The 26,636-nt window shown below is 39.1% G+C and overlaps 1 long non-coding RNA gene across 1 annotated transcript in view, besides 1 other annotated feature; it reads left to right on the forward strand.

The window, feature by feature from the left end:
* The window catches only part of LOC102724080 (uncharacterized), a 117,440-nt gene that overhangs the window by 78,806 nt on the left and 11,998 nt on the right, over window positions 1-26,636 (forward strand). The window lies entirely within an intron of this gene.
* Window positions 15,950-16,119: an enhancer, noted in NCBI's record as "active region_28517". NCBI's record gives its function as "activates an Ori minimal core promoter by ATAC-STARR-seq in GM12878 lymphoblastoid cells {active_cell/tissue: GM12878}" and the evidence as "EXISTENCE:reporter gene assay evidence [ECO:0000049][PMID:35858748]".

Consider the following 26,636-nt stretch of genomic DNA (forward strand, 5'->3'; position numbering starts at 1 on the left):
AGCCTGGGGAGAGTTGATTGGATCATGGGGGCGATTTCTCATGAATGGTTTAACACCATCCTCTTGGTGCTGTCCTAGTGATTGTGAGTTCTCGGGAGATCTGGTTGTTTTAAAGTGTGGCACCTCCCTACTCCCTCTGGCTCTTGCTTTTGCATGTGAAGTGCAACTCCTGTTTAGTCTTCCACCATGAATAAAAACTCCCTGAAGCCTTCCTAGAAGCTAAGCAGATGCCAGAGCCATGAACGTACAGCTTGCAGAACCATGAGCCAATCAAACTTCTTTTCTCTATAAATTGTCTAGTCTTGGTATTTCTTTATAGTAATGCAAGAAGAAACTAATACAGATTAGTGTGCATTTTTTTCCCTCTGAATTAAAAACAACCTTTGTAATCCTGGTTTTTAGCATCCTATAAGGCACATGGAAAGGGCTGTTACTGCAGAAAGAATAAACAAAGGAGTGAATGAAATGGCCTTCATGCTTTTGGGGTCCACTGAACGCTTTACTCTTTGGAGCCTGCTGCATTGCTGTCAAGTCTCATCAAAACCATAGCTTCAAAAGCTACTGCGTTTAGCCTCACAGATTTTGGATAATCATTGAGCCACAAAAATGCTGCTGATGACATAAGTTTTCAATGGTCAATGAGCATTTCCATGGTTATCTCTTCCTTTGTTTGCCTATCCAAAGGCCTAAAAGCACAAACTATATGCACCGAAGAGTTCTCTTTTTTTTTTTTTTTTTTTTTTTTGAGACGGAGTCTCGCTCTGTCGCCCAGGCTGGAGTGCAGTGGCGCAATCTCGGCTCACTGCAAGCTCCGCCTCCCGGGTTCATGCCATTCTCCTACCTCAGCCTCCTGAGTAGCTGGGACTACAGGCGACCGCAACCTCGCCCAGCTAATTTTTTTTTTTTTGTATTTTTAGTAGAGATGGGGTTTCACCATGTTAGCCAGGATGGTCTCGATCTCCTGACCTCGTGATCCACCCGCCTCGGCCTCCCAAAGTACTGGGATTACAGGCGTGAGCCACCGTGCCCTGTCGAGTTCTCCTCTTTATCCCATGAAACCCAAGGGAAAAATATAAAAAGAATGGTGCATGATTTAGCATTGTTTTTTGTTAGATCCATTTTCTGGTTCTTTCTAGGTCAGTTCTGATTTCTCAGGCCTATGCATGTGGGCCAGTGTGAATTTGCATGGTTACCTAGAGACATAGTGCTCTAAACTTAACCAGACATTGAAGGAACTCACCAAATTTCTAAGGTAACAGGAAAACTGTTGTGATTCTAGACTCAATAATTTATGGTCATGCCACAAATGCTGAGTTGGGGTGTCAAGCCCTGTGGCCGCACTCCTATTAGTGGTATTCCTCCTTAAGGACCCAGCTTGAGCTGTCCTGTTCCTGGCTTGTGTATTCTTCCATCACTAATTACATAATAATAACAGCTTCCATTTGTCCTGTGCTTTGAAAAGAGATGGTGGTTATAAAGGATCTTCTTTACACATTGTGAAACGTGCAATGGACCATTCATCACAGAGATGATGAGCTTTATTCATTCATTCATCTATTATTCTAGATGTCCAGCACAATGCCTGGCAGGCAGGAGGCACTGAGTCAACACATGCGTGTTGAGTGAATGAGAAAAATTATCACATTATATCTAGTTTTGGAAAAGTGTGCCAAGGCTATAAGAAGTTTTTAATGCACAAAAACTTACATTATTTAATGCCAGGCACAATTTTAAATGCCTTACCTATATTAACCCATTTAGTCTTCATAACTATCCCTAGAGGTGATTATAGATCACCCCCTTATAGATGGGGAAGCTGACTATGTGTGGAGGTTGAGTGAGTTTTCCGAGTCAGTGAATGGCAGAGCTGAGATTTGAACACAGGCATTCTGTGTAAAGAGATTGTACCTTTAACCATGATCTCATACTGCCTTTCAAGTTACGATACTGCTAATGTTTGTAGGTTCTCAGGAGAAGGAGCACACACACAAAGTAATTCCTTAAAAACAACATAGGCTGTTAGTTCCAAGTCTCTTCTAGACTTGAAGCAAATGTCTGGGATTTAGTTAGGGAGTTAGGGAGGATGAGTGGCATCTGTTGAACACACCAGAGTGCTAAAATCTTATCTTTGCTGATTTCCTAACTCATATTTCAAGTCACACAAGAAATACTTCTGGATTTATTTGTCCCAAGGAACTTACACAAAAGGCATTTGATTTAATGACGTCAAGTGATCAGTATTTGTCCAGTAGTCTTATCTCGAGTGTTATGAAACTATTTTTATTGTTTCCTTTTGAGCAGCTATAGAGACGGTTTCACAGCTAATTCCCATTTCTGTGCTGCTTCCTTAGCATATGGTTGGTTGTGCACGTCTAGACAGTCAACCCATAGAGTTGCGCATGAAACAAAACTTGAAGATAATGAATCATGAATCTGAATCATGGATCCAGTTCCACAGGCACCTCACTAGTGTTCTCTTTTCTATTTGTAATTTTCAATTTTGGCTACTGCTACTGTTTGTGAAAGTAACATATGCATGTTGGCACAAATGAGGCAATATAAATATATAGAAAGAAAAAGTAAATTAATCATTCGACTATTTTTATGTAGATCTATTTTTGAGCTCTCTATTCTGTTCCATTGATCTTTTTGTCTCTCCTTTCACCAATACCAGACTCTCTTACTTACTGTAGCTTTATGGTCATTTAGTGTCAGTCTTTTAGCTTTGTTCTTTTACTTCAATGTTGTGTTAGCTGGTCTGGGTCTTTTGTCTCTCCAAATAAACTTTAAAATCAGGTTTCAATACCCACAGAATAACTTGCTGAGATTTTTTTTCTTTCTTTTCTTATCCTTTCTTTCTTCTCTTTCTTTCTTTCCTCTTTCTCTCTTTCTCTCTCTCTTTCTTTCTTCTCTTTCTCTCTCTCTTTCTTTCTTTTTTTTGAGACAGATTCTTGCTATGTTTCACAGTCTGGTCTTAAACTCCTAGGCTCGAGTGATCTTCCTGCCTCAGCCTCCAAAGTGGCTGGGACTATAGGTGCCCATCACTGCACCCTACCTTACTGAAATTTTGATTGGTATTACACTGAATGTATACATCAAGTTGTGAAGAACTTGCATCTTGATAATATTGAGTCTTCCAATTCATGCACATGGAATATTTCATTTATTTAGTTCTTTTCTTAGAGTTTTATAGCTTTCCTTGAACAGATTTTGTACATATTTTGTTAGATTTGTACCTAAGTATTTCATTTTTTTTGAGTGTGAATATAAATGATATTGTGTTTCAGTTTCTACTTACTCATTGCAGGTATGTGGGAAAGTGATTGACTTTTGTGTATTAACCTTGCATCCTTCATCCTTACTTACTATAGTTGCTTATTAGTTCCAAGAGTGTTTTTTGTTGTTGCTGTTGATTCTTTTGGGCTTTTTATGTAGACTATCATGTCATCTGTGAAAAAAGACAGTTTTATTTCTTCCTCCTCAATCTATTTAACTTTTATTTCATTTTCTTGTCTCATTGAATTAGCTAGGACTTCCAATACAATGTTGAAAAGCAGTACTGAGAGAGGATGCCTTTGCTTTGATCCTGATCTTAATGGGAAAACTTCCAGTTTCTCACCATTAGGTATGAGGTTAGCTGCAGGTTTTTGTAGACACTCCTTATCAGGTTGAGGAAGTTTCCCTCTATTTAGCCTTGATTACTGAGAGTTTTTGTCATGAATGAATGTTGAATTTTTAAAATACTTTTTTTGCATGTTTTGAGATGATCATATGTTTGTTTGTTCTTTACCCTGCAGATGTCATGTATTACATCAATTGAGTTTTGAATGTTGAACCAGCCTTGCATACCTGAGATAAATCCCACTTGGTCGTGGTTTATAATCCCTTTTAGACATTGTTGGTTTTGATTTGCTATTTTTTGAGCATTTTGCATCTATGTTCATGAAAGATATTGGTCTGTAATTTTCTTGTAATGTCTTTGTCTGGTTTTGTTATTAGGGTAATGTTGGCCTCATAGAATGAGTTAAGAAGTATTCTTTCTACTTCTATCTTCTGTAAAAGATTATACGAAATTGGTATAATTTCTTTCTTAAATGTTTGGAAGAATTCGCTAGTGACTGAGCCTGGTGCTTTCTATTTTGGAAGGTGGTTGATAATGTACTTAATTTCTTTAATAAATATAGGTCTATAACTCCTATAATCCCAGCACTTTGGGAGGCTGAGGCGGGTGAATTACTTGAGGTCAGGAGTTCAAGACAAGCCTGGCCAACATGATGAAACCCCATCCTTACTAAAAATAAAAAAATTAGCCAAGCATGGTCTCACATGCCTGCAATCCTAGCTGCTTGGGAAGCTGAGGCACAAGAATCACTTGAACCTGGGAGCTGGAGGTTGCAGTGAGCTGAGATTGTGCCGTTGCACTCCAGCCTGGGTGATAGAGCGAGACTCCATGTCAATAAATAAATAATAAATATACGTCTATTCAGAGTCTCTATTTTTTCTTGTGTGAGTTTTAGAAAATTGTGTCTTTCAAGAAATTGGTTTATTTCACCTAGGTTATCAAATTTGGGCATAAAGTTGCTTATAATATTTCTTTATTATCCATTTAATGTCCATGAGATCTGTCCCCTCTTTCATTTCTGATATTAGTCATTTTTGTCCTCTTTTTTTCCTGGTTAACTGGCCAAAGACATCAATTTTATTGACTTATTTTCAGAGAACCAGTTTTTTTATTTTATTGATTTTCTATATTAATTTCTTTAAAAATTTTATTTGCTCCATTTAAAAAAATTATTTCATTTCTTCTGCTTACATTGAATTTAGTTTGCTCTTCTATTTTCAGTTTCCTAAGATGGAAACTTGGATGACTAATTGTAACTCTTTCTTCTTTTCTAATATTTGCATTCAATTCTGTGAACTTCCCTCTAAGCACCACTTCTGCTGTATCCCACAAATTTTAATGAGCTGTGTTTCCATTTTCATTCAGCTTAAAGTATTTTAAAATTTCTCTTGAAATTTCTTCTTCGACCCCTGAGTTATTCAGAAGTGTGTTGTTTGATCTCCAAATATTTTAGGATTTTCCAGCTCTCTTTCTGTTATTGACTTCTAGTTTAATTCCATTATGGTCTGAGAGCAGGCATTGCATGATTTCCATCCTTTTACATTTGTTAACATGGGCTGGGTGTGGTGGCTCATGCCTGTAATCCCAGCACTTTGGGAGGCTGAGATGGGTGGGTCACTTGAGGTCAGGAGTTCAAGACCAGCCTGGCCAACATGGTGAAAACCCGTCTGTACTAAAAATACAAAAAAATTAGCCAGGTGTGGTGGCAGATGCCTGTAATCCCAGCTTCTCGGGAGGCTGAACCTGGGAGGTGGAATTTGCAGTGATCTGAGATCGCACCACTGTGCTCCAACCTGGGTGACAGGGCAAGACCTCATCTCAAAAAAAAAAAAAAAATTGTTAAGGTGTGTTTTATGGCCCAGAATGTGGTCTATCTTAGTGAATGCATCATGTGGGCTTGAGAAAAATGTGTATTCAGCTGCCATTGGTTGAAGTAATCTGTAGATGCCTATTATGTTAATATCCTGTTGGTTGATGGTGTTGTTGAATTCAGCTATGTCCTTACTGATTTTCTGCTTGCTGGATCTGTTCGTTTCTGAAAGAGGGGTATTGAATCCTCCAACTACAATAGTGGATTCATCTATTTCTACTTGCGGTTCTATCAGTTTTGTCTCACTTATTTTGACACTCTGTTATTAAGTGTATACACATTAAGAAATTAACCCATTTATCATTTAATGCCACTCTTTATCCCCAATAACTTTCTGTGCTCTGAAGTCTGTTCTTTCTAAAATTAACGTAGATATTCCAGATTTTTAAAATTAGGGTTAGCGTATATATATTTATCCATCTGTATACTTTTAATCTATATGTATCTTTATATTTAAAGTGGATTTCTAGGGTCCTGTTTTTTGATCAACTCTGACAATCACTTTCTTTAATTGATACATTTAGACCATTGATGTTCAAAGTGATTAATGATATAATTGGGTAAATATATACCATATTAGTTACTGTTTTCTATTTGTTGCCCTTGTTCTTTGTTCCTTTTTTTGTTTTCTACTCTTTTTCCTCCTTTCAACTGAGTTTTCTTCAGTTAAAACTCCTAGGGCTTTAACTGAGCATTTTATATGATTCCATTTTGTCTCCTTTCTTAGCATATCAGTTGTACTTCCTTTTCTGCTTTTTTTAGTAGTTGCCCTAGAGTTTGCAATTTATATTTACAACGAAACCAAGTGAACTTTTATTTTTTTGAGATGGAGTCTCTTACTCTGTCGCCCAGGCTTGAGTGCAGTGGTGCAATCTTGGCTCACTGAAACCTCTGCCTCCTGGGTTCAAGTGATTCTCCTGCCTCAGCCTTCTAAGAAGCTGGGATTACAGGCACACACTACCATGCCTGGCTAATTTTTTTTCATATTTTTAGTAGAGACGGGGTTTCACCATGTTGGTCAGGCTGGTCTCAAACTCCTGACCTTGTGAACTGCCTGTCTCGGCCTCCCAAAGTGCTAGAATTACAGGTGTGAGTCAATGCATCTGGCCACCAAGTGCATTTCCAAATAACAGTATACTGCTTCACAGGTAGTGTGAGTACCTTATATAATAAAATAATCCCAATTTTTCCCTCTCATCCCTGTATCATTGTTATCATTCATTTCACTTACACATAAACACAAACACACACATGTAATTAAATATATTGTTGCTATTGTTATTTTGAACAAACTCTCATCTCTTAGATTAAGAATAAGAAAATTACGGTATTTATTTTACCTTCATTTAATCCTTATTCCTTCTTCAGTGTTCTTCCTTTCTTTATGTAGGTCCAAGTTTCAGGCTTATGTGATTTTCCTACCCTTTCAAGAACTTTTTCAAAACATTTCTTGCAAGGCGGGTCTACTGGCAACAAATTTCCTCAATTTTCGTTTGTGTAAGACTGTAAGTATCCTTGGCTTTTGAAGAATATTTTCACAGGGTACAGAATTCCAGGTTGGTGGCTTTTTCTCTCAACACTTTAAATATTTCACTCCACCCTATTCATGCCTTGCATGGTTCCTGAGGAGAAGTAGATGTAATTCATAATTTTGCTTCTCTGTATGGAAAAGTAGATGTAATTCTAATTTTGCCTCTCTGTAGGTAAAGTTTTTTTTTTTTTTTAACCTCTGGCTTCTCTCAGGAGTTTTTCTTTATCATTTTTTTATGAAAATGAGAGGCATATCATTTTTGAAAATGATAGGCAGTTCATTTGAAAATGATAAGCCTAGGTGTAGTGTTTTGGGGCATTTATCCTGCTTGGTGTTCTCTGAGCTTTCTGATCTGTGGTTTGGTATCTGAGATTAATTTGGGGAAAATTCTCTATCACCATTGTTTCTAATATTTCTTCTTTTCCTCTTTCTTCTCCTTCTGATATTCTCAGTATGTGTGTGTTACAACTTATGTAGTTGTTCCACAGTTCTTGAATATTCTGTTCTGTTCTGTTTGTTTATTTGTATAAGACAGGGACTTGCTCTGTTGCCCAGACTAGAGTGCAATGGAACAATTATAGCTCACTGTAATCTCAAACTCCCATGCTCAGGTGATCCTCATGCCTCAGCCTCCCAAGTAGTTAGGACCACAGGTGTGCACCATCATGCCTCGCTAATTAAATTTTTTTTTTTATAGAGTTAAGGTCTCACTGTATCACCCAGGCTGGTCTTGCACTCCTGGCCTCAAGTGGTCCTCCTGCCTCAGACTCCCAAAGCACCGGGATTACAGGTGTGGGCCACCATGCCCTGGTGGTGGTGTTTTTTGTTTTTGTTTTTTTTTTCTTTTTTCTTTTATTAAAGTCTTTTTTTCTCTTTGCCTTTCCATTTTGGAGATTTTTATTTAGATACCTCAAACTTGGAGAATCTTTCCTTAACTATGTTCAGTCTACTAGTAAGCCCATTAAAGGTATTCTTTATTTGCATTACAATGTTTTGATCTCTACTATTTTATTTATTTTTCTTAGAATTCCTATTTCTGCTTACACTGCACATCTGTTCTTGCATGCTGTGTACTTTATCCACTAGAGCCCTTATTGTATTAATCATAATTGTTTTGAATTCCCAGTCTGATCGTCATCCCAACATTCCTGCCACATGAGTCTGGTTTTGATGCTTGCTATGTCTCTTCAAAATGTTTTTCGCCTTTCAGTATTTCTTGTAATTTTTTCCTTTATATCCAGACATAATGCACTGGGTAAAAGGAACTGCTATAAATAGGTCTTTAGCAATGTGAAGGTCAGGCGCGGTTAGGGGAAGTGTTCTACTGTCCTGTGATTAGGTCCTAGTCTTTTAGGGCCTCAGGATTGTGAACTTCATATATGCTTCTCAGTAATTTTGTCCCTCCTCACCCCACACCCCGCTGAAGGTGGAACAGAATGGCTAATGGGGTCTGGAGTTGATTATTTTTCTTCCCCCAGGTCAGTTAGGTTAATATAAAACCCCAGCAGGTCTGAGCTCCTTAAATAGTTTCTGCTGAGGGCAGGCCTTGTTAAGAAGCACGGGAATGTTCTGGTGTATTTCACAATAATTCCTTTTCCTCTGCCCTGTGGAAGCACAATGGAATTTCTAAAATAATATTCACTAGGAGAACCTGGTAGAGCTCCAGGGGACAAAACTCACAAGTGGGGGCTCCCCTAGGACAGCGTCCCCTACGGCGATTAATCTCTCACAGTCATCCATACTGAGCCTTCAGCAACTTGTCAATTGTAGTTCAGGTTTCCCCACCCTGGCACTGATTTCCAAGGGGGGCTGTGATTCTCTGTATTTGCCTATCTGTCTCTCCAGTTAGGGGTGCAGCACTTTGTCCTGTGACCTTACTTCTCTTATAGATCTAAGAAAAGTTGTTGATTTTTCAGGGTTTTTTTTATTTGTTTGTTTGTTTGTTTTTTTTGACAGCCTCACTCTGTTGCCCAGGCTGAAGTGCAGTGAAGCTCTCTTGGCTCACTGCAACCCCTGCCTCCCAGGTTCAAGCAATTCTCGTGCGTTGGCTTCCTACGTAGCTGGGACTACAGGTGACCGTCACCACGTCCAGCTAATTTTTGTGTTTTTTATTGGAGATGGGGTTTCACCGTGTTGGCCAGGCTTGAACTCCTGACCTCAAGTGATCCGCCCTCCTCAGCCTCCCAAAGTGCTGAGATTACAGGCAAAAGCCACTACGCCTGGTCAGTTTTTCAGTTTGTTTAGCTTTCACTTGTTAGGATAATGCAGTGACCTCCAAGCTTCTCATTTGCTGGACCAGACACCAAAAGTCTCCTTTTTAAAAAACAAAACAAAAAACCCAATAATTGATCATGGCTATATCCCAATTTCTTAGAACATAACTTTGCACATGGAAGATGCCCAATAAACATTTATTGAGTGACTAAATGATAAAGGGGCTGTGTGCATTTTACAGGGCTCATCTGATTTTCTAACTTGCTATTGGATGGGGACATGGGTTCTTCACATCTAAGTCTCATTCTTCCTAAATCCCCTGCAATTCACTTCTACTCATGTGGCAGCCAGGAAGTGTTTCTTATACTTACAGCTTGCTTTTTATTTCCTTTTATAAAAAAGAACTTTTTAAGATATAATTCACATACCATACAACTTACCCATTGAAAGTGTGTGAATCCATGAGTTTTTAGTTACATCCACAGACGTGTGTGACCATCACCAAAGTCAATCTGAGAACATTTTCATCACCTCAAAAAGAAACCCCATTGTCTTTAGCTATCACCCTATTTTTCTCCCTCTCTATCCCTCATCCTGAAAAAACCAGTAATATACTTTCTGTTGCTACAGATTTCCTGGTTATGGACATTTTCTATGAATAGAATCACATAATATGTGGTCTTTTGTGACTGTCTTCTTTCACTCTGCATGTTTTCAAGGTTCTTTCATGTCGTGGCATGTGTCGGTTTCTCATTCCTTTTTAAGGCTGAATAATATTTCATTTTATGGATATACCACTTTTGTTAATCTAGTCTTCAGTCGATGGACGTTTGGATTGTTTTTAACATGGGGCTATTATGAAAAATGTTGCTATGAACATTTATGCACATATTTTTGTGTAGACATATCTTTTTATTTTTAGGTATATACATGGGAGGACTGGAATTTCTGGGTCATATAGTTTGTTAACTTTTTGAGAAACTGCCAGACTGTTTTCCAGAGCACCATTTTTCATTCTCACCACCACTATATAAGGGTTTTAATTTCTTTTCATATATGCCAACACTTGATATTATCTGACTTTTTAATTCTAGCCACCCTAGTAGGTGAAGCATGAATCATGGAATTATGATTTTGATTTGCATTTCCCTAATGACTCATGATGTCAAGCATCTTTTCATGTGCTTGTTGGCCATTTGTATATCTTCTTTGGAAGAATAATCTATTGCCCATATTGAAATTGAATTATTTACCTTTTCATCTTTGAGTTGTAAGAGTTCTTTATATATATAAGTCCCTTATCGGATATACATAGCTTTTTTTTTTAACTGAAGTTTTTTACATGGTATTCCCCACTTTCTTCACTCTTGTGTGATGTGCCCACATGGTACACAGGGAAATCAAGAGGAAAAACAATCCCTTTTGTAAAAGGACAAAGTATGAATGTCTTTAGCTGGCATTCAAGAGCATGTCATGTCTGTTTTCCCACCCTGATAAATCCAGAAGCAATAAACCCAGAATTACTCGTTCTTAAAAACTACCTCATTGCAGAGGACTGCTTGTTGGGTAGTGGATTAATGTCCAAACCTCTTAGCTAATTAGTGTGAAACACAAATCACCTTTATGTAATATGGCTTGACAATAAAATGAGAAGTCAAAGCAGATGTTTCATCTGGATGTCTGCCCCTTAGAACCTTTGATGGGCTGCTTTGTGCTTTCTCTAGTACAGTGCTGTTAACATCCATATTATGAGTAACAATTTCTATTTTGCACAATCAATCACTTCATGGAAAAATTCAACAGCACTTTATATATTAAGGTTATTTTCTGGAGGGCAAATGCAGACCAAATTTTGAACAATTGGATTTCATTTCAGAGTGGAGTTTTAGTGGACTTCTGTGATAGGAAAAGTCTGAATTAGCAAGGAGACAAGACCAGTGGTACTGATAGTGAGGTAAGCGTTAAGTTGCAAAAGGAGAAAGTAATATTCGCGATCCAGAAAACCCTCCCCAAAAGACTTTGAAATTTTTAGTAGACATGTTATATCTAAATTGGTATCTGAAGCTATTATTCCAAGGACATTGCTTTGGATAGATGTCTGACATTCGTCCTTGTTGCATAAGCTATCTTACATTTCAAGAACATGTTTTGTAATGGTAATCGGTGAATGATAAATTTGGTAGTAATCATCAGCTGTTCAGAAATTGAAATATGCGGTCTGTGGCAATATGAATATTTGTTTTTAATTTGTTGACTTGGTGATTTTAAAACAAACCACCCTAAGGAGGAATGCTTCACAACAGAGCCTTAATAATTATTGAAGGCCAAAAACATGATGTGAAACCAACTTGCCAAATTACGAGTTGGTTGGGCCTGTGAAGGCGGTGTTCACTCTGAGAATGGAGGTGTTCGGGAAGAAGCACTGTAAACCATAAACAGGGCTTCCTAGGATGCTTATGGAGACTTGTGTCTACCTGGCCCTTCTGTGCAGGCCACAGTACATTGCTTGGGTTTCCACTGGCATCTTCACTTTGGCTGGGAAAAGAAGAGATGTGGGAATCAGATAGACCTGGGTTGCCCTCCTAGGTCCATCCCTTCACAACTGAATGATGCAGAATAAGTTACTTGGCATCTGTAAGACTCTGGTTTGCATCTCTACAGAGATGAGAATCTACTTCATCTCACATTGCCAGGAATAAATGAGAACAGACCTATAAGATGCTTACTCCAGGATCTAGCCCAATGCAGATGCCACATGCTCCTTTCCTGCTTTTCACCTTTTGCTTTCTGTCCCCTTTCCTCCACCAAGCTGCTCCTCCACAATTGAGGCCAATTCAGTACTTGAGCTTGTGGAGAAGTTTGTTTCATCTATTGCTGAAAAAGAAGAGTGCCTGAAAGCCCAGCCATAGATCCATGTGAAGGTAGAATGCCCTTCTAGTTATTCTTGACCCTGGCTGTGAATACCCTCTACCTTCTGCTCACCTTGTGGGTATATCCCTTAAGAGGCAATGCAGGAAAAGACAGCCCAATACAAATATTGGCAATTTGTAGATGAATGAATCAATGTGATCAAAGGACTTATGAAAAGATGTTCAAAAGCACTGGCAATTAGGAAAATACAATTTAAAGTAAAATTAAATACCACTGGCAAAAATTCGAAGATTGTTCTTGTGTTTATGGAAAACAACCAGGCAACCAGGAATGAATTTAACCATTAAAAGAATCTATTAAAATTTAAAAAATACCCATGTCTTTCAACTTAGCAGTTCAATCCCATGACTATATTCCTCAGAAATTAAAGCATTAATATGGAAAGTTTTATTTACAAGGACATTTTTACTGAAGCATTATTAGTAAAGACAAAAACAAACAAACAAACCCAACAACAACAAAAAACAAGAATCCCACAAATACAAGCTGGCAGTAAAGAGCTGTAGGGGAATAACTGGTAAAATAATTGACATCACCTCACCAAGGTATGTTTTTTGATAGTTAAAAAAAACAGGTTAAGATATAGTTTACAGGCCGGGCACGGGGGCTCACGCCTGTAATCCCAGCACTTTGGGAGGCCAAGGCAGGTGGATCATGAGGTCAGAAGATTGAGACCATACTGGCTAACACAGTGAAACCCCGTCTCTTCTGAAAATACAAAAAATTAGCCGGGCGTGGTGGCGAGCGCCTGTAGTCCCAGCTACTCGGGAGGCTGAGGCGAGAGAATGGTGTGAATCCAGGAGGCGGAGATTGCAGTGAGCCGAGATCATGCCACTGCACTCCAGTCTGGGCAACAGAGTGAGACTCCGTCTCAAAAAAAAAAAAAAAAAAAAGATATCATAGTTTACAAAGTATTATTGAATGAGAACAAAAAATGACGTGGAGAAATTTGTATAAAATGATCCAACTTGTAAAATAAACATGGACTAGCAAAATTCCATGTATCTCTCTCGTTCTCTCTGTCTCTCTCATTCCCTCTGGGGGTGTGTGTGTGTGTGTTTGCATTTCTATGAGGATTGAGCATAGAGACAAATAAGAACCATAGTCTAGGCTACAGTCATGGGGTGCTGGGGAATTATAGGGATAGAGAAAATAGGGGCAAGCAAAAAATAAAATAAAAGGCCGCACTAAGAAGATCTCCATCAAATATAATTCCATTTATGCAAAATTAATATACATATGCAGATATGTACAAATAAATAGGAACAAAGAGTTAGAACTTAACCTACTGATTTGACAACTGTTATATACTGAAAAAAAAAATCAGAATAATGGGAGTAGTAGTATTTTAATTTGTAAAGTCAAGCTAACCAACCCGCTGAACCTGAACCCATCACTCTACCTACTTAGATATGTGTGCATCCTTTTGAATTTACATATGCTTGCGTACATGTATATGAGCCTAGAAACAGGAAGTACGTGGCCATGTGCGGTGGCTCATGCCTGTAATCCCAGCACTTTGGGAGGCCAAGACAGGCAGATCACCTGAGGTCAGGAGTTTGAGAACAGACCAGGAATTTGAGGACAGGAGTTCGAGACCAACATGGTGAAACCCTGTCTCTACCAAAAATACAAAAATTAGCTGGGTGTGATGGCAGGTGCCTATAATCCCAGCTACTTGGGAGGCTGAGGCACAAGAATCGCTTGAACCCAGGAGGCAGAGGTTGCAGTGAGCTGAGATCACAACACTACACTCCAGCCTGGGCAACAGAGTGAGATTCCGTCTTAACAAAAAAAAAAAAAGAAAGAAAGAAACAGCAAGGATGCACTGGATAGCTTTTCTTCATACATCTTGTGATGGTATACTTTTATAATTATAATTGCAATTTTATTTTATTTTACTTTTTGAGACAGTTTCACTCGTTGCCCAGGCTGGAGTGCAATGGCATGTTCTGCACTCAACCTCTGCCTCCTGCGTTCAAGCGACTCTCCTGCCTCAGCCTCCCAAGTAGCTGGGATTACAGGCACCCATCACCATGCCTGGCTAATTATTTTAGGAGAGGCGGGGTTTCCCCATGTTGGCCAGGCTGGTCTTGAACTCCTGACCTCAGGTGATCTGCTCACCTCCGCCTCCCAAAGTGCTAGGATTATAGGTGTGAGCCATCATGCCTGGCCTTATGATTATTTTTGTAATTAAAAAAATACTTAATAAAGGACACTTTCAAAATAACCAAAAATATTTTCAAAGGAAGAAAAGAAAAAGAAGCAAGCTAGTGGTTCTTTCTCAAGGGCTGAGGGGTTGTTTCTAATTCTGCCAGAAGAGAATCTGGTCACCTGCCTTGATGGACTTTAACACAATGTTAAATAAGTTACGATTAGCTAAAAATGGAAATGGTAAGAAGGGATGTGAGTAGCCAGAGCTTGTTGCGGGCCAGACCCGTCCTGGTCTGTGTGAGCGTTAGCCAGAAGAGCTAAGCTGCAACAGCTCGTTCTGATGCTGACCTCTTTCTTCAAGGGGCTTATCTTTCAAAGGCAGGGCCTGGCTGATCAAGGATCTAGACAGGGTTTGTGTTCTTGTCCAGCCCACCAGATTTCAAATTGGACTGTCATTGTAGCTTCCATGAAGGGTCCCAGGAGTTCTATAAACTCGAGGTTAAACCCTGGCCAGTACACAGAGACCTGGGAACAACCTTCCCAAAACAACCCTTTAACAAATACTTTCTGCTTTAGAGGGAGGAGGACCGAGAGGAAGGGAAGGACACACACAGCATTAAGTGGCTGTGGGTATTTGATCAAACAGTTATGCAACTGATTAGAGCATTTGACAGAAAATTAATGAAAGATTTTGTTTTCCTACCACTTGGTATTTCTCTGGCTGCCTGTGCTGGAATTCCAGCTGCATTTGGATCACTGTGATTGTGTAAATCCTGCTGATCTTTAAAAAGAGATCCTTAGGATTTAGAGGTGGAACACAGAGGAGCTCCCGTTATCCTGACTTTCCACCACTCAAAATGGAACAGGGAACTAACAGGCCTCCTGTACGTTCTGCCTTTACATCTCTCAGCATTTTTCTTCCCCCCTAATTTACCATATCACAAGGAAGTTATAGATATTGAATCAAAGTGCATCGCTGTAATCGAATTTCATCTTGAGACTATTTCTTCCATTAGAGAGTATAGCTCTGTTAAGGGCTCTGATCTACTAAGTAGCCCTAATCCAGAAAATTCACATAGATACTGCCTAACCATGGCAAAGGCACAAGAGCATTGACTAAAAAGGTCTGGTGGTAACTTCTGATAAATATTAGGCCAGTTGCAGCTCATCCCTTTGGATTTGTAGTTTTTTTTAAAAAAAATCTAAGAATCCTGTATAGATATAACAGGAGAACAGAAATGTTTCTGGACCTACCTCTTCCTAATCTTACAGAAAAAGCGATGAGTCTTTAGGAAAGTACAGAGTAATTCAGACACAGTAAAACACTAGTTAATTTGGGGGAAATTTGCATTTTTATATGTAAAAATTTGACAAATTCTTCTGAAATTACTAGACTTGCAAAGATGAAAAGCATCAAGTTACAGGATTTGAGTGACAGGCTGTTCATCCCTTCACTTTCCTTGTACATATTTTATTTCTCTTTTCATACTTTATAAATATACTTTTAGAAGGTACCTCAAAGATCACGTCTGACACGTAGTAGGCATTCACTATATAATTGTCGTATGAGGATATGCCATGACAATGAATTGCTATGCTTAGTCAGGTTAGGCTAAATTATGTTGTCATAACAAATAACTCTAAAATCTCGGCGGCTTAGCACAACAAAATATATATTCTTTGCTCACTACAGACTCTCATGTGAATTGACAGGGGGTTTCCATATCTAGTGGTTGGGGATTCCCTTTAACTTGTGAGGCCATCATCTCCACACTTGACTTTCAGAGTGGTTCTAGCAAGAGATAAGAAAGATGAAGGAGACACACTGGCTCCCAAGGGCCTTGCAATGGAAATGGTACATCAATTCCTCTCATATTCCTGTTTGCCAGATACAGTCATGTGCCCCAGACCCCAAAATAAAGAAGTATGGGAAATGCAGGGAGCCCAGGAATATTCAGTGAGCACTAATGGCCTCTGCTGCCCTTGGTTTTTAGGAGACAGAGAGGTGTAAATTAAAAGCCAGCGCTATGTTTTCCACTTTTATTTATCTAGGCTTCATTACAACTAGTCTTGCAAGGGACTCTGTGGGGAAAGTGTTTTTCTTTTCATGGTGAAACAAGTTTGGCAAATGCTGTGTATTATATTTACCTCATCCAATTTATGATGTGCAATTATTTATTAAAGGTTTTAAAAAGTTCAACATCAAAGAAACTGGTTATAAAAGACAAGAAATCAAGCTGTGAATCTAATTTATTTATTTGATAAATATTTTTTGAACACCTTCTATTAATATTTGCCAGGTATTGAGCTAGAATTTTGGGGGGAATTAGATGAATAAGGCCTTTTTCTTATCCACCAGGAGACTAATTCCAGGGAAGGCGTATAAAGTAATTCCCTAAGTGTACTCTCATTACAACAGGGGACACATATATTACCTATTCACCAATGGGTGTCTGTATCTTTTTGTGCCAAAGCAAGTTTTGTAACTCACTTGAACACATTTTGGGTGTTATTTTGCAATCTATTCATCCTGTAGTAGGCAGGCAATTTAAAAATACAATGACACCAGTTTACTTTCTAGTAGTTGGCATTTTCCTTAACAGTATACACTGTAAAACATCTATGTTTTAAAGATCAAATACTGGCCAGGGGCAGTGGCTCATGCCTGTAATTCCAGCACTTTGGGAGGCCGCGGCAGGCGGATCACCTGAGGTCAGGAGTTTGAGACCAGCCTGGCCAACATGGTGAAACCCTGTCTCTACTAAAAATACAAAAATTAGCCGGGCGTGGTGGTGTGCGCCTATAATCCCAGCTACCTGGGAGGCTGAGGCAAGAGAATCCCTGGAACCTGGGAGGCAGAGGCTGCAGTGAGCCAAGATCACGCCATTGCACTCCAGCCTGGGCGACAGAGCAAGACTCTGTCTCAAAAAAAAAAAAAAAAAAAAAAAAATTAAAATACTATAGGATGCCAATCACATAACAACACATACTAGAGTGACACAAATTTTAAAAATTAGAACAGTGATGCATTCTTTTAATAAAAAATATTAAACAACCCCAAAGAAAATATACATTAATTCTTAGATTTTTGCCTACAACCATTAGTCTAATTTTCCTAGTATATCTTTCTGGAAGAAACTACTGTTACTAGTTTTTTCCAGAGATAGTTTGTGTATATACTATATTACACATACATATATAAAATACCTCTTTTATTACATATACAAATTTGTAGTATTCTTTCATTTTTATCATGTATAATATGTATCTCTTTTTAAAACATAAATATTAAACTATCGTAAGTTCTATTCGACACTGTCTAAAAAAATTTAAAATATATCTAGAATTGCATTCTGTGTGCATGCGTGTGTGTGACTGTACATACGCTCACTCATATGCCCTGGGTGTACCACAATTTATGTAACTAGCTCCCTACTGATAGTCATTTAAGTCAAAATGGTTTCTAGAGAAGTTTATTTTTAAAAAACTTCATGTGTTTGAATCTTTTAAAAAGCAGCCAAAGTAAGCTAATGCATCCCTAAAAATGTGGTTCTTGTGAGACATTTTTAATACTCCAGTGGGTTTTTAAAAGGATACAAACTTATAGCTAGACAGGAGGGATAGGTTCTGGTGTTCCTCAGCTCTGTAGGGTGACTATGGTTAACAGTAAAATATGATATAGTTCCAAATAGCTAGGAGGATTTTGAATGTTCCCAACACAAAGAAATGATAAAAGTTTGAGATGATGGATATGTGAATTATTCTGATCTGATCCCTACATTACACATATCATAACACTGCTATGTACTCCATGAATATGCACATATTTATCAACATATTATGTGTCAATTTTAAAAAGCTTTTAAACAAAAAGTAAAAATTCTGGATTAAAAAAATACATAAGGTCCAGGCACAGTGGCTCACACCTGTAATCCCAGCACTTTGGAAGGCAGCGGCGGATGGATCACCTGAGGTCAGGAGTTTGAGACCAGCCTGGCCAACATGGCGAAACCCCGTTTCTACTAAAAATAGAAAAATTGGCTGCGCGTGGTGGCAGGTGCCTGTAATCCCAGCTACTTGGGAGGCTGAGGCAGGAGAATCGCTAGAACCCGGGAGGCAGAGGCTGCAGTGAGCCAATATCGTGCAATTGCACTCCAGCTGGGGTGACAAGAGTGAAACTTCATCTCAAAAAAAAAAAAAAAAAAAAAAAAAAGAAAAGTAAGAATATAACCTAAGAGTTTGCTTCACATCTGTGTGTATAAATATGTATGGATGTGCAACTTAAAAATATGTGGCTATTTTATCTTTTTAAAGGTTAATTGATTTAGATGTTAGGCTCACTAAAAGATAGTGTTCAAGATTCATCCGTTTCTGAATTCATAGAAATATACCCGGACATAGCATGGGCATATATTGATACATGGAAATAACTATTGGTGATAGTTCCACAGCCTTGGTGGGATTTTTACAAAGATGTTAATTTCGTTAATTGTATCCAAAATTACTAATACTTTCCGAGTTGTTATGAAAACATGTAGCATTGGGAACACAGACATTTAGGAAAAAGGGTGAATATGTTTCGCTGTGGATATTCAGTGCAGGTAGAAAAAGGGAGCAGAAAGAATGTTACTTGTATCTCCTTTAAGACAAAGCCAGCTGCCTGGAAATACTGAAGGAGGACTCTGGCCAGAGATCTTCCACCTGCCAGGGCAACCAGCAATGACTCCCATCTTCAAAGTGATTTATGAACTTTAATGGAGATTCGCAAGAGCCCCAGAAGGCAGAGAGGTTATAATTACTCCATTTACAAATGGGAGATGGAGACACAAATAGGTTAAGTGCTTTGCCGCAGGCGCCCCGCTGTTGCTTCTGGAGTTCCACAGCAGAGGGGCCTGCTTCCCCAGCTCGCTCACACCCCAGCCCTGGGTGGCCTTCCTCTCCTTCCCAGGGTCTCTACCACTGCCCTGCAGAGAACAGCTCTGTACCAGAAAGCCCAGGGCCAGGTCTCCACTAGGAGAGAAAGGTAGAGAATTAGGGTCAGAGGGGAGGTAATTCAGACTCCACTGCAGGCATTCTCATTAGGAGTCTAAGCGCCAAGGCTGAGTCTGTCTTTCCATATGGATATGCACCCCGTGGACATTCAAGAACCTGCTGGTAATCATACCAATTACCCAGATTATAAAGGCGATGAGTATCCTTTCCCCTTAGCTATTTAGATAATCATCAGATTTGACTTTTCCAAAGACTTGGCTGAATCCAGATTTCAAACTAAAACAAAGGTTTTTCTCTCATCACCCACCTGGTGGTTAATTTCTTCCAGGATGTCACTTTAAAATGCAAAGCAGAGAGCTGAGAATATTGCATGACTACCAGAAAGGAATATATAGACTGGCATCTGGCAATTGGGATTACGCTGAGCCAAGAAATGGATAATGGAACCTACCTCAATCTTTGTCCAAATCCTAGAACATTCAGATATAATAGTTGTTAATATTGCTGGAATTTCTGAAGGTGAAAAACTATGTAAAAGAAAGTGCAAAGAGAAACTCATTAATAAATATAATTTATTCATTTGCTAGCAGCTGGGGAGAGGGTAAGTGTTGGGAAGGATAGCAATCAGAGAGAAAGTAGATTTTTTATTTTTTTATTTTTTATTTTTAGAAAACAGTGCTTTATTATAGCTCTAGAATTAATAAATAACCTGAAACCAACTGCCTATAATCTACAGCAGTGGGGACCACAAATGGGCAAACTAATGGAAGGACCATGATGACGGGACTTGGACACACACATCACTTAGGGAGACAAATCTAGAAGTCTCCCTTTCAAACTGCCTTCCAACAGACACCCAGCATAGTTATTCCTGTTTCAGAGATAGCACCCAAAGACAAAGGCCAGAGCTTATCGTATAAATGCCTTGTTTGCCACTGTCACATTGTATTTTCCTTATAACAACAAATAATAGTTAACAAAAAATAAGAACTACCACAGAAAATAACAAAAGAATACAATGATTGGTATTTTTTCCCACCTACATTTTGGGAGTTTTAGAATTTAGATAAATTTCACTGGGCTCTCTGCTTCTTTCTCTTTCCCTGAATTCCTAACCCACTGAATAACCTTCAGTGTTTATTTAAATTTTCATTTTCTCTTGAAGTGTTCTGGTTACGTCTGCAGATGTTGAAATTGCTTTACAAAAACGTACACATCTCTAGTATTAAAAGATGCTTTTTAAACCTCACAATTTAAAAAATTAATTCCTCTTATATTTGTACATAGATTACTCAGAAAGTTCCTTTAGAAATAAATTCCAGTGACACTGATTTTTTGTTTTTTTTTTTGCATTTTTATTTCAATGAAAAATCTCACTGCTTTTTTTCTTGCATTTGATTGCCCAGCATTTGGTTCCTTTTCCTCTCTGATTGGCTGCTGGTTGTGGTGCAGGCTCCTGCTTCATCATTTTGCATTCTCTCCTTGGTCTTAGGTGTTCTTTCAGCCAGGACCAGGGCCTTCCTGCTCCAGCGAAGCTCATCCACCTGTGGGTCAAGCAACTCCATCTGTCCTCAGGACGCTTTTTGAACACTGGCTCACTTCAGAGCCATAAATGCCTAGGTATGTGAGTTAATCCAGTCTCCTTGGCTGATACAATCCATGACAGGATCACAAGCTGCAGGGTAATAAACATCATTTGGGTGCTAATAAATTTCAAGCTTTGAAAGTAGGTGTTTATGTCTAGCAAGAGATAATGTTGGCAGAAGGGAACTTTCCTGGGGTGTCTGTACATTGTTTTGTAGGAAAGACACCAGTGGCCTGGCAAGATAAATGATCTGAGGTTTCAGGTAGAAGGGACAGGGAGTTATTTAGTAGCAAGAGCCTTGGGCCTACCCAACTGACTTTCCCATGCCAGTCGCAGCTCTGCCCCTGGTATTTCATTCCTCTTTGAGCTCCATAGTTTGTAGCTGGCTCTATCTGTAAAGGGAGACCAACCTAAGCCTTGATTTCTTGGGGAAAGGGGTGTCAATTTTTATTACATTCCTTTTTTTTTTTTTTTGAGATGGAGTCTTGCTCTGTTGCCCAGGCTGGAGTGCAGTGGCACGATCTTGGCTCAGTGCAACCTCCGCCTCCAGGTTTCAAGCAATTCTCCTGCCTCAGCCTCCTGAGCAGCTGGGATTACAGGTGTGCACTACCACACTTGGCTAATTTTGGTATTTTTAGTAGAGACGGGGTTTCATCATGTTGGCCAGGCTGGTCTTGAACCCCTGACCTCGTGATCCACCTGCCTCGGCCTCCCAAAGTGCTGGGATTACAGGCGTGAGCCATCGTGCCCAGACTTTTTATTACATTCTTTGCCAATATTTAGTTTCCCCCTTGCATATCCCTCTCCTTGTGTGATAAAATTTTGTAAGTTTGATTTTTCTATGCAAGATTTTGGATTGGATTAGAGAATAAAATATGTAGAATTTTGTTCTTTGGATGTCTTTAAAAAGAGGGTAAATTCCTGTTTTGGTTGGTCTCTATGGTGTGGTCCGACATGTTCAATTAACTGCTCAGAAAGGACTAATAATTTCTGAATCATCTTTAGCTTATTCAAGACTCTTCCATGATAATGGAGATGCAAAAGAGAGACATAGCACAGACTTGCAACCTAGCTGGGAAGGAAAGAACGGGAAGTATCAAAAATGAAAAAGGAAGCCCAGGGTTGCTTGGTGTGCAGCCTGCCCTGATGGTATGGGTGTGTTCTTTCCAGGCAGAGGGCACATGAGGGCATACAGCCTGGTTTCACCAATTAGATGCAAGGAGCTCCATTTTTATGCTATTTCAGTCCACTACTTTACAAGGTCAAGAACATACTACCAGAAGCCAGTTTAGTGATTTCACCTTTCTTTTCATCCTTCCTACCTTGTTTGTGTCCTAGAGATGGCAGTAAGGATTGGTTAGTATTGGAGGGTGGCTGCTTTGAGATGCTTCTAGTTTCCTTTCTCCATCAGTGACCCCCTCATTCTCATGCACCCACCTTTGCATTGAAGGTCTCTGTCAGGCAGCCATGGACATGTGTTCCCTGCCCTCCAGTTTGGAAGGGCTGCTACATTAATAGGTGAATGTAAAATCAGTTTCTTGGAGTGTAAGGCATCTGACTGTTATACAATGAGTTTTGTGGCCAGAGGGTGAAAAGAGAGTATATAGGCAGTATAAGTCAGTCCTCCGTGAAATGCTTTGGGTGGCCCTGGTGGAACTACTTCTTTATTTTCAAGGGAGGTGAAGTGGTCCAGCATGAAGTTTCTACCAGTGAGAAGTATGTGGGTAAATGACAGCTCCCACCTTTAACTTTTGCCCAGTTGCTAAATCTCCCCTCTCTTTATGCAACATATACCTGACACCCTGATGGATGCTTCTCCCTGCAGGTACCGTTGAGTAATGAGTCCGCAGCTGATTAAATCACGGGTTTCCCATATCTTTCTTATTAGTTCTGCAGCACAGTTCCTTGAGCTGACAGCTGTACAATAGCACCTTTTCAACTGTTTCTGGTTTCATGCCAGAAAACTTATCTTTTAATGATTTTGCACCCACCTCCCAACTCCCAGAGCGAGTAGAGAAAGGGAGTATATTTTGAAAGAAATTCCAAGCTTCTTTTGTGTATTTTTTCACTTGGCAGTCCAGTTTGTCACTGATTAAAAGCATCATGGAAAACAGTTTCAGAACGGCTACATGAAGTCCAAGTTCATCATGTTTTAACACTGCTATAAAATACTTTTTTGAATGTTTACTATGTGTCAGGTACTATGCTCGGTGCTGGCGATAGTGGGTTAGCAAAAACTGTTTTGTCTTAGGCATTCTTTATGATTGTAGCCATCTAAATTGCACACTATGACTATGAAGTAGGTACATTCATGTCTGTTCTGCTCTTTGAAAAAGATCCCATACTAAAAGGTACAGAACAAAATCTTTTTTTTCCTCTATTTTCCATAACCCAGGAGATACTGCTCTATAAAACTCATTTTTGTATCAATTTCTTGAGAACCTTGTTACTCTCAGGAATCACCAACCTCAATTAACTGGGCTCTTCCTAAATAAATTAGTTTGCTTTGATTTTATGGGCACAGTGGAGTCTGGAACAGTTGTGTTTCCCTATTTTCAGAGATATTTAAAGCTATGGAGACACCAAGGTGGTAAAACATACATTTTTTTTCTCCTAACACTATTTCTGATCTGATTTATTTTCCTCCTCGGTTACCTTTTGTGTGATTTTCTCACTTATTTAATTTTTTCCATATTCAGTACAATTTGATTACCTATAGTCCCCATGTTGTACATTTGATCTCTGTACTTGTTCATCCTATACCTCTGCTACTTTGTATTTTCTGATCTACATCTTCCCATTTTCTATTCTGTCCTGTCCCCTCTCCAGCTCCCCTCTCTGCTGAGAGCCATTTCCATTGCTAAATAAAATTCTCTGCCTTCACCATCCGTCAAGTGTCCGCACAACCTCATTCTTCTTGGATGCTGGACAAGAGCTTGGGACCCAGGCGACGAGGCAAGGGGCCAATTGAGCTGATAACACACTACTGTTCATGGACAGTGGAGCCAAGAGAGCATTGTAACACAGCCTTTGGGGCTTCGGGGTCGCAGGCATCCCCAACAGGGTGCCACCTCAGGCCGAGTAAACAGAGCTTGCTCCTCCTGGGGCCCTGAGCGGCCAAAAAGGTCCTGTAGTTGCTCACCTGTACCTAGTCTGCCCATGTGCGGCGCCTGGAGCAGCCGGCCGGGTCCCGCACTCGCTGGCTCATGCCTGGTCTGGCTGTGCATGAAGCCTTCTCCTGTGTCGACTCCCAGAGCGGCCGGCTGGGTCCTGCACTCGCTCGTTCACATGCTCCCTCACGCAAGGGGCTGAGCGTGGTGGGCTGAGTAAACGTTTGCCCCTGTCACGAGTCCAAAGAAGGGGCTGAGAAAAAGCCTGCATCATTTCCTCTTTTTAATTAATTAGTAACCTTTATACTGTTTTCCATAATGGCTGTAGCGCTGTACATTCTCACCAACAGCGTATCAAAGTTCTCTTTTTCTCTTGCCTTCACAAGCGTTTGTTATCTTTTGACTCTGATCATAGCCATCCTAATGGGCATGGGGTAGTATCTCACAGTGGCTTTGGTTTGTAATTCCCTGGTGATTAATGATGTTGAGCACCTTTTCATGTACCTTTTGGTCATTTTTATGTCTTCTTGGGAGACATAACTGTTCAGATTTTTGCCCATTTTTTAATTTGTTTTTGTTTTTCTACTATTGAGTTTTATAAGTACTTTATACATTTTGTATATTAACCCCTTATCAGATATATGATTTTCAAATACGTTTTCCCTATCTTTAGGCTGCCTTTCTATTTTGTGTATTGTTTCTTCTGCTGCGAAGAAGCTTTTTAGTTTGATGGAGTCCCATTTATTTATTTTTGTTTTTGTGGCCTGAGCTTTTGATGTGATACCCAACAAATCATTGCCAAGGTCAATGTCCAGGCACTTTTCCCTAATGTTCTCTTCTGGGGGTTTTATAGTTTCTGGTCTTATATTTTGGTCTTTTATCCATTTTGAGTTTATTTTTGTATATGTTATCAGATAATAGTCCAATTTCATTCTTTTGTATATAAAAATCCAGTTTTCCCAGCACTATTTATTGAAAAGACTGTCGTTTCCCCATTGTGTCCTCCTGGTGCTCTTGTAAAAAATTGGTTTGCTTTGATTTTATGAGGACTGTGAAGCTTGGAACTATTGTGTTTCCCTGTTTGCAGAGATGTTGAGACATACAAAGCTATGGAGACACCAAGATGTTATAACATAACATTTTTTCCTGTAGTAACACTATTTCTGACTTTATTTATTTTACTTTACATATTTCCCTACTGTTTAATTTTTTCATTTATTTTAATCTTATAGAAGTATCTATACACATTTTAATAAATTCTTTTAATAAATACAAAAATAAAAAAATAAAAAAATTCTTTAAATAAATTTAATACATTCTCAAATTCTTTTAGGAACAGGGTGGAAATATTCATAAGTAAATTAATAAAATATGAAAAAAAAACCTGAGAAAATAAGCCAGATATGTTTATGCTAGAAACTTTCTGGAGGTTTTAAGAATTTATCTAGACAGAGAGGTGGCAGGAGGGAGAGCGCTGGAAAAATAGCTAATGCATGCTGAGCTTAATATCTAGGTGATAGGTTGATAGGTGCAGCAAATCACCATGGCACGTGTTTACCTATGTAACAAACCTGCACATCCTGCACATGTACCCTGGAACTTAAAATAAAACAAAATAAAATAATAATTGAAAAACATTTGACATATCTGATAGGCTTCCCCAAATCAAATTTCAGCTTCAAAATTATCTTTGCTGGCCTGTAACTTTGGGGGGCTACAGAAGGCCCCTGAAGCATCCAAAAGAGGTAAACAGGGCTATTTGACTTGTTAAGTTACTTGGGAAGGATTGTCAAAATAAAAGATAATATTTAACCTTCTTCAGGTTATATTTTAGTGTATGTCATCAGTATGTTCCAAAAATATATGGGATTTCTAAAATTCTACTATGTCTGAGTATATGCTCATAATCAATCATAATTATGGTTATTATGTTAAGTTATTGTGGACCACAGAAATAACCAAATTCCCTTGTCAATTGTGTCTTTAACTATAACTATTTTTTTTTTTTTTTGAGATGGAGTCTCGCTCTGTCGCCCAGGCTGAAGTGCAGTGGCATGATCTTGACTCACTGCAACTTCCGCCTCCCAGGTTCAAGCAATTCTCTTGCCTCAGCCTCCTGAGTAGCTGGGATTATAGGCACCTGCCACCAGGCCTGGCTAATTTTTGTATTTTTAGTAGCGATAGTGTTTGCCATGTTGGCCAGGCTGGTCTCAAACTCCTGACCTCAGGTGATCCACCCACCTCGGCCTCTCAAAGTGCTGGGATAACAGGCGTGAGCCACTGCACCCCACCAACTATAACTATTTAAAGTCATTTCCACAGTTAATTGCTTAATGCTGATGCAGTTTCTGAAAACTTCACAAGCACGCAGAAATCCTAGAATATGGTGTCTTCTAGGAGGTTCATGAAAGGATGGAAAGGACCCTGAAAAGCTCTCTTGAATACAGGTTTCTAATTATTTTAACATCATATCATGGGTAATAATTCCCCCATGAATTCCCCAGTTCCACAAGAATTGGACTGGGTAACAATTCCCAAAACTTTAATGAAAACACTGACTGGTTTATAAAACTGCTAACCCAAATAGAACAAAAAATTCCTTGAATACCAAGGAAATATTTTGCCAG

Source organism: Homo sapiens, chromosome 9 (genome assembly GCF_000001405.40).
Source record: "Homo sapiens chromosome 9, GRCh38.p14 Primary Assembly".
Lineage (NCBI taxonomy): Eukaryota > Metazoa > Chordata > Mammalia > Primates > Hominidae > Homo > Homo sapiens.